The 18,253-nt window shown below is 44.0% G+C and overlaps 1 long non-coding RNA gene across 1 annotated transcript; it reads right to left on the bottom strand.

Annotated features, from left to right (window-relative positions):
• Positions 1-6,444: 6,444 nt before the first annotated feature.
• LOC105377607 (uncharacterized) lies at positions 6,445-13,092 on the bottom strand. The gene is made up of 3 exons (XR_939619.4): positions 12,878-13,092; positions 9,955-10,112; positions 6,445-8,376 (listed from the first exon to the last, which is right to left on the bottom strand). It is a non-coding gene; the product is annotated as an uncharacterized LOC105377607 (long non-coding RNA).
• Positions 13,093-18,253: the final 5,161 nt, after the last annotated feature.

Here is an 18,253-nt window from a genome sequence, read left to right as displayed (position 1 = left end):
CACTTCAGCCTGGGTGACGGAGAGACCCTGTCTCAACAAAAAAAAAAAAAAAAAAAAAAGAAAACAAAGAAATTTTATGTAGTAATATGAACAATCACTAGGACACATTAAGTGAAAAAAATTAACAGAGGAAAGTGGGTTAAAGGTAGGGTTAGTGTGGAAAAGCATAAAGGTTTAAAATAGCTTTTGAAAAATACAAAATTCACTTGCAGACTTAAACGTCCATAAGAAAGGGAAGTTAGTGCCTCAGGAATAGACAATAGACCCTTTTCCGTTACAGTACATAAATGTACTATGATTCAAAGTAAATAATTACATGCCAAATAAGTCTAATTTATCTGGGTTTGTGTGTGTGTGTGTGTGTGTGTGTGCTTCCCAAGTTCTGTGTAAGCAATCTTTGCCTACTAAAAGGTAACAAAGATATTCTCCTATGCTTTCTTTGAAAAGCTTTATAGTTTTAGCAATTATGTTTGGATATATAGTCCACCTTGAATTAATTAAGAAAGACCTGGCTGGGGGAGGTGGCTCATACCTGTAATCTCAGCACTTCGGGAGGCCAAGGTGGGTGGGTCACTTGAGGTCAGGAGTTCAAGATCAGCCTGGCCAACATGGTAAAACCCCATCTGTACTAAAAATACAAAAATTAGCCAGGCATGATAGTGGGAGCCTGTAATCCCAGCTACTTGCATGGCTGAGACAGGAGAATTGCTTGAACCTGGGAGAAAGGGGTTGCAATGAGCTGAGATTGCACCAATGTACTCCAGCCTGGGCGACAGAGCAAGACTCCATCTAAAAAAAAAAAAAAACCTAAAATTGTGCAGTATTTCTTTCTCTGAGCAATGTTTTATAGCTATCTGCATAGAGATTTTACACATCATTTTGTTGCCAAAACACCAGGGATTTGGTCTAGGTCCTGTTCTCACTGCACAGAAAGCCAATCAACAAGTATTGCCAAGGAAGAAGTTTTTAATGGGATGCTGCAGCCAAGGAGATGGGAGCTCAGTCTCAAATCCTCTCCCTGACTGACTACAACTAGGGATTTATACAGCAGGAAATAAATATAACAATGTGTAAGAAAACAAGAAGGCATATGATCTGGTGAGTTTCAGTTCTTCGACACTTTTTTTTGAGAGGACTGAAGGTTCTTTCCTGAGGACCTAACTCAGATAAAATGAATACAAGTTTCAAGCTTTAACAGCAGAAGGGTCCGGATCAAGAGGTCAGGAGATAGAGACCATCCTGGCTAACACGGTGAAACCCCGTCTCTACTACAAATACAAAAAATTAGCCGGGCGTTGAGTCCCAGCTACTCGGAGGCTGAGGCAGGAGAATGGCATGAACCTGGGAGGCGGAGGTTGCAGTGAGCCGAGATCACACCACTGCACTTCAGCCTGGGCGACAGAGAGAGACTCCGTCTCAAAAAAAAGAAAAAGAAAGACAGAAGATAAAAAGCTTCTACTCTCTTAGACAATTTCAAGTATACACTGCATCCATATATACAAGGAGGCAGTGAATACTTGAAATTGTCTGAGACAGTAGATCTTAGGTGTCCTAACCACATACACATAATACACACACACACACACACACACACACACACAGAGGTAACTATGTGTGATGATGATTGTTAAATAACTTGACTGTGGTCATTTCACAATGTAAACATATCTCAAATTACCATATTGTATTACTTGAATATATATAATTTTAATTTATCAATTATACCTAAATAAAGCTGGAGGAAAATAATGTATACTGGGAAGGAACAACATCCACACATTAAGTTTATTTTTTTATTTTCTTTTTTTATTTTTGTTTGAGATGGAGTCTCACTTTGTCCCCCAGGCTGGAGTGCAGTGGTGCCACCTCAGCTCACTGCAACCTCAGCCTCCCAAGTTCAAGTGATTCTCCTGCCTCAGCCTCCTGAGTAGCTGGGATTACAGGCACCCACAACCACACCCAGCTAATTTTTGTATTTTTAGTAGAGACAGGGTTTCACCATGTTGGACCAGGCTGCTCTCGAACTCCTGACCTCAGGTGATCCACCCGCTTCAGCCTCCCAAAGTGCTGGGAATATAGGCGTGAGCCACTGCACCTGGCCCACACATTAAGTTTACAAAACAAGACACAGAAGGGGAAACTATGGAATAACAGGACTAGAAAGAGTAGGAGATTTTGTAAATGTTTTTATTATGAAAATATTTGATACACATAAGAGAATGTTTGTGACAGATGTATATTTATATACACACAAACATATACATCTGTAGATAGGATGGATAGATAAGATTAGATAGAAGATAGATAGATAGAGAGATAGATAGATAGACAGACAGACAGACAGATAGCAGATAGAGATAGATTTTCATGAAACAAACACCATTGACCCCTTCACCCACACTAAGACATGGAACGTCACTGTTATCTCTGAAGCTCCTGTTCGCTTCTGTTACTTCATCCCTGGCCCTGGGTTTTCTCCAAGAGTTCCATTCACATACGTGTTGCACAGCTGTTAATACACTGCCTAGTGTGCTTGGCTTTGAATTTATAATACAGTATCATGCTGCATATCTTTCCACAACTTGCTTCCACAATGTATTAACTTTCTGAGTTTCGATCACCCTGACATGTGTAATTCAAGTTTATTCATTTTCACCATTATATAGTGTCCAATTCATGAATAAACCTCAATTTCTTTATCCATTTTCCCACAAATAGACCCAATAGACATTTGGTTACTTGCAAGGTTTTGTTCTTGTCTTTTGCTATTATTAACAATGCTCCTAGAAACATTATTTTGTATGATTCCTTGTGCAAAGGGGTAGACATTTTTCCTACAGCACATACTAGAATTGGGCATACTCACATTCAGTTTACAAGATAATGCCAAATTGATTTTGAAAGTCATTGCACCAATTCACACTCTTAGCAACTGCCCCAGGGACATCCTTGTTCTATATCCTGGTCATATTTACCTATGTATTAGGTGTATCATGAGATTTCATTAAATATTAAATTGCCTTTTACTGATTATTACGAATTGAGAATCTTTTTATATATATCTACTGGCCACTTATATTCCTGTTCTGTAAAGTACTTGTTAGTACCTTTTACAGATTTTTCTAACAGGTTATTTCCTCTACTGTGAAATTTTTTCACATCTTTTCCCCATTTTTGTTGATTTACTGATATATTATACTTTTATATATTCTGGATCATAATGCTTCATTAATTTCATGTATTTTTTAAAATTAGGCCAGGCATGGTAGCTTTTGCCTGTAATCCCAGCACTTTGGGAGGCCAAGGCGGGTGGATCACCTGAGGTCAGGAGTTCGAGACCAGCCTGACCAACATGGAGAAACCTTGTCTCTACTAAAAATACAAAATTAGCTGGGTGTGGTGGCGCATGCCTGTAATCCCCGTTACTCGGGAGGCTGAGGCTGGAGAATCGCTTGAACCCAGGACAGGGAGGTTGCGGTGAGCCGAGATCGTACCATTGTACTCCAGCGTGGGCAACAAGAGCAAAACTCCATCACAAAAAAAAAAAGAAAAAAATTATTTTCCCTGCATGTGTATCACTTATGCTTTTTTTATTGTATCTTTCGATTAAAAGAAGTTTTTAATTTTAATGTAGTCAAATTTATCAAGATGTTTTTGTGGCTTGTACATCTTACATGCTGTTTCAGAAATACTTTCCTATTCAAAGGCCATAATGAAATTATTCTATACTATCTTTAACATTTCCGAGTTTTCCTTTTGCATTTAAAACCATTAATGCTTACAACATCCGTCAACATGAAACAGGAGAGTTCTCTGACCCCTCGCGGAACATGTGATGGCATGTGGCTCATTTATTCGGCTGGTGCGTGTTCAAACCCTTTAAGGGAGGGAGAGCACACAGGTGAGCTGGGGTGAGCACATTTGGGCTCTGACCCCCCAGCAGTGGCTAGGGGTATTACAATGTCCTTTAGCCCTGCCACCCAGGGAAAGCTAAAGTGTTTAACAGCTCAGTGAAGAGTCAACGTGACAGTCTTTTTGGTTCCTGTACCCAATGGAATTGGTACAGGAATCCTGAATTCCTGTCTAGCTTCCAGGAAGAATCAGGTCACATGGACTTGAAGAATGGTGAATGCAGGGATTTCATTGAGAGGTGGAGGTGGCTCTCAGTGGGATGGGGAGGTGGAGAGGGGATGGAGTGGGAAGATGATTGTCCCCTGGAGTTCAGCCATCTCATGGCGAATCTCTTCTATGACCGCCCCCAGCCAAACTCCTCCCCATGTTCAGACACTTCTCTTCTCTCCTTCTCCACTCTGCCGCTCTGCTGCTCTGCTGCTGTGCCGCCCTCCTGCTCATTGAACCTGGGGTTTGGGGGTTTTATGAGTACAGGATGCGGGGTCAGGGGGGGAGGGGCATGAGGGTGGCGGGCCAGGGTGGTTTTGAATAAAGCAACAATTGGACGGGAAAACAGAGATAACTGTTTTCATTTAGAGCCACAGTTTCCAGGCTTGAAGGTGGGGCCTTTGCTGAAGAACCACCTTCTTCTACCCAGCGTTTCCCTGCCTCCTGTCCCCATCAAACACGCATGCACACACACTCATGTATGCACACACACACACACACAGAAAGAAAGTGAGAGGGAGAAACAGTCAGAGAGAGACGATTAATTCAATGGACTAGCGCATATTATCCCCATTCACATACAGGATAATTTCACCACTTATCAAACCTCCACACTTTCACTGTGTTATTTCCAGACAATCTAACAAATTTCTTTTCTCTGTTGGTCTATTGTTGTGCTAGTGCCACTGTCTTATAGTCTATGGATTATAATGCGTCTTGATGTCTGAGGAAGGATATGTTCCCACCTCATTCCACTTGAAGAGTTTCTCCCATTTGTTCTTGATATTTATGCTGCCATATACATGTTTTTTCTTTCTTTTTTTTTTCTAAGATGGAGTTTCATTCTGTCACCCAGGCTGGAGTGCGGTGGTGCGATCTCGGCTCACTGCAACCTCTGCCTCCCGGGTTCAAGTGATTCTCCTGCCTCAGCCTCCCGAGTAGCTGGGACTACAGGCACCTTGCAGCACGCCTGGCTAATTTTTGCATTTTTAGTAGAGACAGGGTTTCACCATGTTGGCCAGGATGATCTCGATCTCTTCACCTCATGATTCGCCCGTGTCAGCTTCCCAAAGTGCTAGGATTACAGGCATGAGCCACCGCGCCTGGCCCATATACATTTTTAAATTAATTTTCCCATTTCCTTTTAACCCTGTTAGATTTTTGTAATTTAATAAACTTTATTTTTTAGACCAGTTTTAGCTTCACATCAAAATTGATCAGAAAGTACAGAGAGTTCTCATATACCCTTGGTCCCTATACACACACAACCTACCCCACTACTACCATCCCCCACGACAGTGGTGCATATTTGACAAATCTACAGACCTGCAATGATACATCATTATTATTCAAATTTCATGGTTTATATTAGGGTTCTCTCTTAGGGTTGTACATTCCATGGTTTTTAACAAATGTATAATCACACATATCCACCATTATATTATCAGACAAAATGGTTTCACTATCCTAAAAATCTTCTGTTCTCCACCTAATCATCTCTCTTTATCCTTAACCTCTGGCAACCACTGACCTTTTTACCATTTCCATAGTTTTGCCTTTTCCGAAGCATCACATGACTGGAATCATGCAGTGCATCACCTTTTCGGATTGGTTTTTGTTTCTGTCATTTATACGCAGTTAACATTCCTCCATGTGGTGTTGTCACTTGGTAGCTTATTTATTTTTAGCACTAAATAATATCCTATTGTCTGGAGGTGCCACAGTTTCTTTTCTTTTTTAACCTAAGGAACAACATCTTAGTTGCTTCTAAGCTTTGGCAATTACAAATAAGGCTACTATAAACATTGATGTGTTCATTTGGGTAAATACCAAGGAGCATAATGGCCGGACTATGTAGTAAAAGAATGTTTAGTTTTATAGGAAACCACCGAACTGCCCTCCATGGTATCAGTACCATTTTATGAGTACATCCACTCCCAGCACAATGAATCAGAGTTCCTATTGCTACACATTCTTGCCAGCATTGGTGTTTGGGATGCTCACCCTTTTTTTTTTTTTTTTTTTTTTTTTTTGAGACGGAGTTTGGCTCTTGTTGCCCAGGCTGCAGTGCAGTGGCGCAATCTCAGCTCACCACAACCTCCGCCTCCCGGGTTCAAGCGATTCTCCTGACTCAGCCTCTCAGGTAGCTGGTATTACAGGTGCCTGCCACCACGCCCGAATACTTTTGTATTTTTAGTAGAGACGGGGTTTCTCCATGTTGGGCAGGCTGGTCTCAAACTCCTGACCTCAAGTGACCTGCCGGCCTCGGCCTCCCAAAGTGCTAGGACTACAGGCATGAGCCACCACACCCTGCCTGCTCCCCTTTTTAATAGGTGTGTAGTGCTATTTCCTTTTTTAAAAATTTGTAATACTTGGTGATACAAGATGTTGACATCATCTTTACATATGCTTATTTACCACGCCCGGTGGCAAAGTGTCTCTTCTTTCACGATCCCTTATTGTTTATGTTGTTCTGCTGTTGCACTGTTAATATGTCCTAATATTGACTGGCTTTTATTTGTCTTTCTTTGGATCTGTCATGATTTGGTACTATGATGAGCCAATAACCCTGAAACTTCCCAGCTGCAAAAAGAAAAACCAAATGAGAAATCAAATGGAATGAAAGACACACGATGGATTTGGGTCTTTCATTCATTCCAGAAACACTGGTCATTACTTCTTGAAATATTTTGGCCAGGTGCAGTGGCTCCCGCCTGTAATCCCAGCACTTTGGGATGCCGAGGCAGGAGATCGAGCCCAGCCTGGACAATATGGTGAAACCCTGTCTCTACTAAAAATACAAAAATTAGCTGGGCGTGGTGGCGTGTGCCTGTAATCCTAGCTACTCAGGAGGCTGAGGCAGGAGAACCGCTTGAACCTGGGAGGCACAGCTTGCAGTGAGCCGAGATCACACCACTGCACTCCAGCCTGGGCAGCAGGGTGAGACCATCTCAAAAAAAAAAAAAAAAAAAAAAATTTATTCCTTGCATTTTTTTTCAACAATCTGCCTCTCAAATTCTGATTATATGTACGGTGGATTTTCTACTTGTCTCTTAAACTTTTCTATTTTTAATGTATTGATCTCTTTGTGTAATAGTATAATTTTTGAATAACTGAGTTTACTAATTGTTCTCTCATCTCCAGCAATTTTTTAACCCTTCCATTGAGTTTTCTTTTTACTTCAATTATTATAGTTTACATTTCTAGTTTTGCCCAAATTTGTCTGCTCATCTTCGGTGATCCCTTCATCCTGACTCTTCACCTTATTTCTGCCTTTACTCATTGAAACATATTAAGAATACCCATTTTATATTCTGTATTCTGTTCTTACAGTATCTGACGTCTTTGCAGGTCTTTTTTTGTTGGCAAATGCTCATAAACAACTTCTTCATATGTACCCTTGGCTTCTCCTTATTAGTTACAGTAGTTAAAAGTTGGTGCCACTAACCCTGTGGGGTGCTTGGAAGCCTTGTTTGAAGACTTACTCCTCGAGGGAGTATTGATATTTGCTTCTCTGAAGTACCTGGGGATACTATAGACTCCATGTGCTTTAAATGTAAATTCCTGCTTGCAGTTTTCAGACCACGTAGCAGTGGAAATTCAGACTTGAACCCATGTGAGAGCTTGCAACATGTTTTTTAAGCTCCACTGCAGCCAGTGCTAACATAGATGACACCACCGTTTCCTCTCGCCGTATGAAAGTGATGCCCAACCCAACTCCCCACCACAAGAGCGGTAGAAACTTCGTACCCAGATCCTGTCCCTGTTCCAAAGCAATGATGAGTCCCAGCATATCTAGTGCCTTCACTCAGTGCCCTGGACTCAAACTGTCTTTGTTACTGGCCTCATTTGATTCCTGTTTTATGGCAGGGAAGTGTTGGGGTTTTTGGTTCATCATACTGTGTCTGTAATTGGTGGGTTCCTCGTCTCACTGACTTCATGAATGAAACCACAGACCCTCACGATCAGTGTTACACTTCTTAAGAACAACGTGTCCAGTTCGTTCCTTCTGATGTTTGAACGGGTTCACAGTTTCTACCTTCTGGTGGGTTCGTGGCCTCCCTGGATTCAGAAGTGAAGCCACAGAGCTTCATGGTGAGTGGTACAGCTCTTAAGACCACGCGTCTGGAGTTGTTCATTTCTCCCGGTGGACTCGTGATCCCGCTGGCAACAGAAAGGAAACTGCAAACCTTAGCAGTGACTGTTACAGCTGATAAACGTAGTACAGACCCCAACAGTTAACACCATCATGAGTTACTGCAAAGAATGAAACAACAAACTTTCTTAAATGTGGAAGGCAACACCAGTGGGTTGGGAGTGTTAGCTCAGGCAGCCTGCTTTTATTCCCTTATCCTACCCCTCCCACATCCTGCTGATTGGCCCATTTTACAGAGAGCTGATTGGTCCAATTTACAGAGAGCTGATTGGTCCATTTTACAGAAAGCTGATTGGTCCATTTTGACAGGGTGCTGATTGGTGCATTTACAATCCCTGAGCTAGACACAGAGTGCTGATTGGTGCATTTAGAATCTTCTAGCTAGACATAAATGTTCTCCAAGTCCCCACGAGCTTAGCTAGATACAGAGTGCTGATTGGCACACCCACGAACCTTAAGCTAGACACAGAGTGCTGGTTAGCTCACAGACAATCCTCCAGCCAGACATAAAATTCTCCAAGTCCCCACCTGACTCAGGAGCCTGCCTGACTTTGCCTAGTGGATCCCGTGGCGAGGCAGCAGGCGGAGCTGCCCGTTAGTCCCATGCCGCCCGCCTGCACTTCTCAGCCCTTGGGCAGTCGATGGGACCCGGCGCCATGGAGCAGGGGACAGCGCTCGTAGGGCAGGCTCGGGCCGCGCAGGAGCCCGCAGCGGAGGGGAAACTCAGGCATGGCAGGCTGTAGGGCCTGAACCCTGCCCTGCGGGGAGGCAGCTGAGGCCCGGCAAGAATTGGAGTGCGGCCTGGGTGGGCCGGCAGTGCTGGGGTACCCGGCGCACCTTCCGCAGCTGCTGGCCCGGGTGCTAAGCCCCTCACTGCCCGGGGCGGGCGGCGCCTGCCAGCTGCTCTGAATGCAGGGCCCGCCGAGCCCTCGCTGGCCCATGGGCGCCGCGGGCAGCCCCGGTTCCCGCCCTCGCCTCTTCCTCCACACCTCCCCGTAAGCAGAGGGAACCAGCTCCAGTCTAGGCCATCCCAGAAAGGGGCTCCCACAGTGCAGCAGCCGGCTGAAGGGCTCCTCAAGTGTGGCCAGAGCGGACGCTGAGGCCGAGGAGGCACTGAGAGCGAGCGAGGGCAGGCAGCACATTTTCACCTCTCAATAGTACCAAAAAAAAGTCAAATATTTACTTGTCATTGTATGTCTTATTGTACCTGAATTTTGAACCATTCACCTGCCCGATGTATTACAAATAAGAAAGTTACATGAAATTTAAAATAAATGTTCTGAGCATGTTGATCCTAGGTTGATCCTGTCATATCAATAGTAGTTTTCATAATATTAAGATATATTTAGATAGTTTTTGTCTTCAGCTTGGTCTCACAGTTTAAATGCAAAAAACTTTCAACCTGAGAAGCAGAAATGACTCATATCTAATACATCTAAGTGTTTCATCTAATTTATTCTGAGCATGACTCCTCAAGATTGCATAAGGGGATGGGGGTAAGGTTTCTTAGCTTGTCCTATCAGTTTTAGAAAACAGAACCTACAGGCTTTTTGATGTTGACCATGGATTTCAAACAATAGCTGAAATCATTACTTATGTATAATGAACATGATATAATGTTTACTTTGCAATGTTAGTTACCAAAAAAAAAAAAAAAAGAAAAAATCTTTTTCACTAACCTAGGAATCTAGCAAGCTCTGGTGTAGATTTTTCTGCAAAGATGTGATTGATGGGGGAGTCAGTTCTGACTGGCTGGATCCTGGCCGTGTGTTCCGCACTGATCTTCCCAGTGTCTGGCAGAGTTGTCCACCTCTTCCTTCAGGGCAATTTCTAACCCCTGCAAATTTCAGTGTTTGCATATATACTTGCTTCAAGCCTATTCTTTCTGTCATTATCGTATCACTGAGTGTTTCCTTCCACGGTGCTATGCACCCTACAGTGCCCGCCTTTTCTCATCCAAACTCTCTAGTCTGCGGCGACACTACCAGTTAGTTCTTTTCTCTCTGTGTGATCAGTATTCCTATAGATTTGCAGCAATGATGGGAGCTAGGAGGAGGCATATTCTAAACCCCGTTTGGCTGGAGAATCCCTTCCTGCATGGAATTCCAGTCTCATTGCAAAGCTCTGCATTGGGATAGCTCTTAGGCAGCACCAAACGAATTTTCTCCTCACTCCACTACAGCATATCTCAAAAAATTACTCTAAACCTAATTTTGGGGTGACCAAATTGAGGTACAGAAAATAAAGTTTAAATACATGAATATATTTAAGGCAACTTAGTAAACATATTTGTATTCAAGAAACAATTTTTGTATTTCTAAGCCCTCTATTGAAAACTTCATTATCATTCTCTCAGGAAACACAGTCCAACAGGATACAAAACATTGTGAAAATTCTCAACTTTTCGATCCTGACTGCCCTCAGGTCATTTTTTTGTGTTGGAGTGTGTTTTGTTTGGTTTTGTTTTCTGAACTACAGGGAGCATTCCCTTCTGCTCCCGGCATAATGCCTATTCCTGCCCCCATCTCCTTTTTTTTTTTTTTTCCCAAGACGGAGTCTCGCTCTGTCGCCCAGGCTGGAGTGCAGGGGCGCGATCTCGGCTCACTGCAAGCTCCGCCTCCCGGGTTCCGGCCATTCTCCTGCCTCAGCCTCCCGAGTAGCTGGGACTACAGGCGCCCACCACCACGCCCGGATAATTTTTTGTATTTTTAGTTTAGACACGGTTTTGCTGTGTTGGCCAGGCTGGTCTCAAACTCCTGACCTCAGGCAATCCGCCCGCCTTGGCCTCCCAAAGTGCTGGGATTACAGGCGTGAGCCACTGTGCCCGGCCCAATTCAGGTTTAAGAGGTGCTTTCCAGCCGGGAGTGGTGGCTCACGCCTGTAATCCCAGCACTTTGGGAGGCCGAGGCGGGCGGATTGCCTGAGGTCAGGAGTTCAGGACCAACCTGGTCAACATGGCAAAACCCTGTCTCTACTAAAAATACAAAAATTAGGACGAGGCTCGGTGGCTCACGCCTGTAATCCCAGCACTTTGGGAGACCAAGGCGGACGGATCATCTGAGGTCAGGAGTTGGAGACCAGCCTGACCAACATGGAGAAACCCCGCCTCTACTAAAAATACAAAATTAGGCATGGTGACGCATGCTTGTAATCCCAGGTACTCAAGAGGGTGAGGCAGGAGAATCGCTTGAACCCGGGAGACGGAGGTTGCAGTAAGCCAACATTGTGCCACTGCACTCCAGCCTGGGAGACACAGCAAGACTCTGTCTCAAAAAAAAAAAAAAAAAGAGGCGCTTTCGGTCCCTTAAGCACCTCCTGCATTGCTGGGTGGCCAATCATATACCAAACTCCAAGGGAAGTGTACAAAATTATGCACGAATGGAATAGGTGGATTTCAAAAGAGCATTCCTACGTGTAAGTCCTATATAATTTACATTTTCTTGCAAACAAAGGAAGGAAGCTTATAGACTTGGAAAGGAGCGTGTCTCCATGGGCCCTCTCTCTGCTTCTGTCTCCCTCTATCCCTCTGTCTCCCTCTCTCCCTCTGTCTCCCTCTCTCTCCCAGTCTCCCTTTCCACCCTTCTCTTTCTCTCTAATCTCCCTGTTCAATCCCTCCATTTCTCCCCTTTTTTTCTGCTATTTGGCAGACTATCTCCTTGCTGAGTGTTGCAGACTCACCAGCCTTAAGCCTGTTCCAGATGTCAGTGGCTAAGGGCTCCTACTATTGGGCCAGTCACTGCCCATTTCTACTGGACTGGAAGGAAATAGGCCATGTGGTGAGGGCAGGAAAAACACAAAAGAAAAAGAGCAGCTCCTGCCATTCATTTGGTAGGAGCTGGCCTGACGCTCACAGCTGGGCCAGGTGTTCTGGTGAAAGTAAACAATTTCACAGAGCATAGCATCAACAGGGTCACTCTGTGACTGTGATGGAGGGAGACAAAAACAAGACCACTCCATAAACATGTCTGAGCACAGAATAAAACAAGAACACTGGGCGGGCACGGTGGCTCACGCCTGTAATCCCAGCACTTTAGGAGGCCGAGGTGGGCAGATGACCTGAGGTTGGGAGTTCGAGAACAGGCTGACCAACATGGAGAAACCCCGTCTCTACTAAAAACACAAAATTAGCCAGGCGTGGTGGCGCATGCCTGTAATCCCAGCTACTTAGGGGGCTGAGGCAAGAGAGTCGCTTGAACCCAGGAGGCGGAGGTTGCAGTGAGCCGAGATAGCGCCACTGCACTCCAGCCTTGGCAACAAGAGCAAAACTCCATCTCAAAAAAAAAAAAAAAAAAAAAAAAAACACAAGACTTTGCAAACCATAATACTGCCTGAACATCCCATTCTTCCGCTAACGTGAACAACTGCCTCTGTGTGGATTACAGCTTAAGCCCTCCTGTGTTCCTCCTGCCTCCTAGATAAAAATTATTACAACGTTTTATCACAGAATCTCCACTGCTTGCTCTCAGCACCAGAGAAAAACCATGTCTCATTGATGACTCACTCAAAATCACCTAGCATAAGCTCAAACCCCATCACAAGCCCGTGCTGTCACCCTCTTCCTGAGACGTGCCATGGGTCCCCACAGGATGGTCTCCTTGTTACCTTGTTCAACTCCGGGTGTCCTGATGGCCTTTGGCTGGGAGTATTCACAGCAGTCACATCCCTTGTTCAGTCTCTGTCCTGAGGGCTGTGGGGACTTCCTTATAAATTCGCCAAAGAAGGAGGCACACCTTTAGAGCAGACTGCAGTCCAGTTTCATACGAGTTAAGCATATTCGTCCTGTTAGAAGAACGTTGGTCCAGGGCAGGCCCGGTGGCTCACACCTGTAATCCCAGAACTTTGGGAGGCCGAGGCAGGTGGATCACTTGAGGTCAGGAGTTCGAGACAAGCCTAACCAACATGGTGAAACCCCGTCTCTACTAAAAATACAAAAACTAACCAGGCGTGGTTGCACTTGCCTGTAGTCCCAGCTACTAGAGAGGCTGAGGCAGCAGAATCGCTTGAACCCAGGAGGCGGAGGTTGCAGTGAGCTGAGATCGCGCCACTGCACTCCAGCCTCAGCAACATGAGCGAAACTCCATTTAAAAAAAAAGAGAGAACTTTGGTCCTACCATTTGCGAATGAATGGTCACAGTATTACTCTACTCTTATCAGCACATCTTACAGGAGTTACTGCATTGGCTGTAACAGACCATTTAATAAGCCCAGGATCAGTAATACACACTTCTGTTAATTCTACTCCAAATCACTACTATCTCTCACTTTGTCTCCATCAGTGAGGTTACGCTTCAGCACATCTCACCAAACAATAAAACTGAATATAATAGAATTATTCTTATAATAAGGTTACTGTCAAATGTTGAATATTGACCAAAATCTCACTACAATTTTCACCAATCCATGGAGGTACCTTCATTCTAATATTGTTCCCATGCTTGTTATTCAGAACCACTCACCCCCAAGGCAGTGTTAATATTATTTGAGAAGCACAAATAAAAGTTTCCCAGCTGAAAAATTTCCTTCCCCCTAGGCTGCCGCTAGGGAAAGCAAGAAATTAACATTTATTGAGTTTCTTCTAAATGTGAAGCACTCTCATAAAAACTTATCTCATTTGATTCTCACAACACACTGCAAAATGGGTACTATTCAAATTTTGACATGGAAGAAACTAAAGGCTAATGGTTTTCTCTGCAAAGAAGGGACTTTGTCTTTTATCTGTTACCCCTTCAGGACAGGCCAGTGGTAGATCCATTGCAGACACTGGGTAAAAGGTCAGTTGAATAAATGAGGCTTGAAAAGGTTAAGAAAATTGTCTGAAATCCACCACTTTCTAAAAAGCAAAATAAAGTTTCAAACTCCACTCGTATTCCAAAGACCTAGCATTTATTAATAGCGTAAGTTATACCAGTTGCTAGAGATTGTGCTATTTGACAATTAAATCTACGCTTTGGTAGAACTATGAACATGATAAAGAAATGAAATATTTCTAAGTAACCAACACTTTAATCAGTACCTAGCAAATAGTAGGCATACAGTAATACTAATTCCCCTTTTCCTAATTAAATAGGGACATGCTGGGTTTTTCTGGCGCCATTTTTCTCTTTGACCATCCAGACCATAAAAGTCACTGATAGCCAATATTGAGGGATTGTCACAGACTGACAGGTTCTTCCACTGCCTCCCTGAAAAAGCCAGTGAGATGGAAGGTATTTAATTTATTTATTTATTTTTGAGACAGAGTCTCACTCTGTCATCCAGGCTGGAGTACAGTGGTGAAATCATGGCTCACTGCAGCCTCAACCTCCACCTCAGCCTCCCAAATATCTGGGACTACAGGCATTCACCACCATACCCAGCTAATTATTATTATTATTTTTTTTTTGAGACAGAGTCTTGTTGCATGTCGCCCAGGCTGGAGTGCAGTGGCATGATCTTGGCTCACTATAACCTTCGCCTCCCGGCTCAAGCAATTCTCCTGCCTCAGCCTCCCAAGTAGCTGAGATTACAGGCATACCCCACCACACCCAGCTAATTTTTCTTCTTGTTGTTGTTGTTTTGTTTTGTTTTGAGATGGAGTCTCACTCTGTCACCAGGCTGCAGTGCAGTGGTGCGATCTTGGCTCACTGCAACCTCCGCTTCCTGGGTTCAAGCGATTCTCCTGCCTCAGCCTGCCGAGTAGCTGGGACTACAGGCAGGGGCCACTGTGCCCAGCTAATTTTTGTAGTTTTAGTAGAGACGGGGCTTCACCATGTTGGCCAGGATGGTCTCGATCTCTTGACCTCATGATGTGCCTGCCTAAGCTTCCCAAAGTGCTGGGATTACAGGCATGAGCCACTGCACCCGGCCATTTTTTTTTTTGTATTTTTAGTAGAGACAGGGTTTCACCATGTTGGCCAGGCTGGCCTCAAAGTCCTGACCTCAGGTGATCCACCTGCATCGGCCTCCCAGAGTGCTAGGATTACAGGTGTGAGCCATTGCGCCCAGCCTCCAGCTAATTTTTAAAATTTTTTTGTAGAAACGAGGTCTCACTATGTTGCCCAGGCTAGTCCCCAATTCCTGGGCTCAAGTGATCCTCCTGCCTTGGCCTGCTACAGTGCTGAGATTCCAGGCATGAGCCATCCCTGCCTGGCCCAAGAACAACAGTTATTGCAGCAAAGAAAGAGTTTAATAATCACTAAGCAATGGCAAGTCATTAATGCTTCCTAGTCCTTAGCGAAGTTTAATCCCCTACCATAATTCTAATTTTGTTTTATGAATGTACCTTTAATCTCCAGACAAGAAAGGGGATCAGTTTCCCTTGACTCCAAGTTTAACTATGACTACATTCCTCTCATAGTTTTATTGGTCTCTCTACTATAATAAGCAAAACAAAAACAAGTGAGCAGTTAAGGTTAAAAGCAAGATGGAGTTGGTCATGTTAGAGTTCTCTCATTATTTATAATTATGCAAGGGTGGTTTTAGGATTAATTGGCATAGAAGTGTCTTCTTGGCTTGAACCTTCAGCAGGATTTTCTGAGACTATACTCTGGAATAAAAATGTGTGTGTGACGAGTGCCAATCACTATGATCTGTTATACGAAAGAAGGACCAGACAAAAGGCAACCTTCATTTTACATTCACAAGATGCCAGACCCAGGGCCCAGCTACCCGAAGAGAAAGTGAAGGACTTGGAATGCAGTCGGCTCTACCTGACTTCCATCCTGCTTGTAAGTAATGAGGAAGAAACAAAAGTGAAGAAGCGGGGAATACAAGAGATCAGTATACAAAGAGGATAGACTGTATTTCTGTTTAAATAGATGAAATCTATATTCAAATTCAGGCAGAAAAAAAAAGAAAATTGAGGCAGAAGAGGAGGAAAAAACCTTCCCTAGCTTTTCACTTGCTGACTTTGTTACAAGACAAAGTTACACAAACCCACTGAACTCTTTCAGCCTGTTTTTCCACTCTGCTTAGACAATCCTATAGTCTTTTTCCTATTTTTAACACGATAGGCTGCTTGGCATCCACCCTCTAATCATAGAAGGATGCTACCCAAACCAGAGTGCATAAAATTGATTCCAATTGTAATGAGCCCTGAGGAGTTTATCGAAAATCTTTCATGCTTTCAACTTTGCTTGTAAACAACATCATTTTACTCACAGACAAAGAAGAGTTTGCCAATTGCAGACAGACTGTGTCATCAATGGAGTCACAGGGTGTGTCTGCTGGAATTGAGCCTCCCTGTGCTATTGGTGGTGATATGATGAGACTGGTCTCAGCACTTCAAGGTGCTTTTGCCCTGGTCCTGAGCTAGGTTGGCCTCAGTCCCTGGAGGTAAATTTGTACTCAGTGTGCAGTTGACTGTGAGCCTTACTTTCCAAGACGAATTGAAGGTCTTTCCCCCTTCTTCCCCTTCTCCTCTGCTTCCACCCTTGATTCGTGTTAAGTGTTCTATAGCTGGGCTAACAAATCACCACGCCTTCTGTGGTTTTAAAACAACACAAATTTATTATCTCGCAGTTCTGGAGGTCTCAGAAGTCTGACATTATTTTGACTCGATTAAGATTAGGTGTAGGCAGTCCTGCATTCCTTCTGGAAGATAAGCGAAGGAGCTGTTTCCATGCCTTTTCCGGCCGCTAGAGGCTGCCTGCATTTCTTGGCTTGTGGTCCCTTACCCTATCTTCACAGCCAGGAGCGTGGCATCTTGTGTCCTCTCTGCCCTCTACTTATGTCCTTACATCTTGTCCACAACCCTCTTCAGTCATCATCTCTATTCTCAGGACCTGTGACACCATTCTAAATGATTCTTTCAAGCAGTTGTGGCAAATACACAAAATTTAGTGTTGGTCATGTATTTCAGATCACTGGAGCCGGGTTGTTGGCTCTTCTCAGCTGTGAGGCAGGCACTGCTCCACTGTGTAACCACAAGCTCCATGGACGCACAGTCAGCTGTAGCAGGGGCCTGGAGCTCCTCTTACCAGGCATGATGTGAGGGGACAGTACACCCATCCTTCTCCCAGAGAAGGGAGATTTAGGGACCCAGGTGCTCAAGTTACTCTTTCCAAAGAAAGTTTCCATGAAAGGAAAAAGTTTAGACAAAATAAATTTTACAGAGTTTGAGCATTAAGGCATTCAGCAATCGGGCAGCACTCAGACACAGAAGAGATGCAGAGAGCTCTGCTCCAGCAGACTGAACAGCAAGCTTTTGCAGGCTGACCATGAAAACAAAGGAATTACTCAACTGACTCCAGCCAGGCCTCATTTGAGTATGATCTTGTGAAAAGTCCCTACTTACATAACTAACAGCTAGTTGGCTGTGTGTGACCAGTTGCTAGTTGGCTGCTTGTGATAGAGTACTAGTTGGCTGCCTGTGATTGGTTGCTAATTAGCTGTTTGTGGCTGGGTGTTTGAGATTGGTTCCCAGTTGGCCGTTTGTGATTGACTACTAGTTGATTGTTAGTGACCGCTTACTGGTTTGCTACTCGTGATTGGTTGCTGGTTGGCTTTTTATAATTAATCATTAGTTGGCTGCTGGTGTCTGGTTGTTACTTAGCTGTTTGTGATTGGTTGCTAGTTGGCTGTTTGTGATTGGTTGCTAGTTGGTTGTTTGTGAATGGTTGCTAGTTCACTGATTGGTTGCTAGTTGGTTGTGACTGGTTGCTAGTTGGCTGTTTCTGATTGGCTGATTATTGGTTGTTGTCTCCCCCCCACCACTCCCAACCCCCCCCCAAAAAAATAATAATAATCAGTTTCAAGAAATGCTTCCAAGTTGAACTTTGGTTTGCCTGTGTAAGTGTTCCAGGTACAGAACCAACCCCAGGCTAATGGCCTCCTGGATATTTTGCTTTAGCACCTCCAATTTCCAAATAAATTTCCATCTTCAACTTTAGTACTTGCCCATGCAAGAGTAAATAAAAAAGTGATTCTTTTTCTAACTCCTTTGCAAATGAGGAAGTTGACACATAAATGATCTTAGACTCTCAGTGGAATCCTAGAGAA

The sequence above is a fragment of the Homo sapiens genome, chromosome 4 (genome assembly GCF_000001405.40).
Source record: "Homo sapiens chromosome 4, GRCh38.p14 Primary Assembly".
Classification (NCBI taxonomy): Eukaryota; Metazoa; Chordata; class Mammalia; order Primates; family Hominidae; genus Homo; species Homo sapiens.
This window is presented reverse-complemented; position numbering and strand designations above follow the sequence as displayed.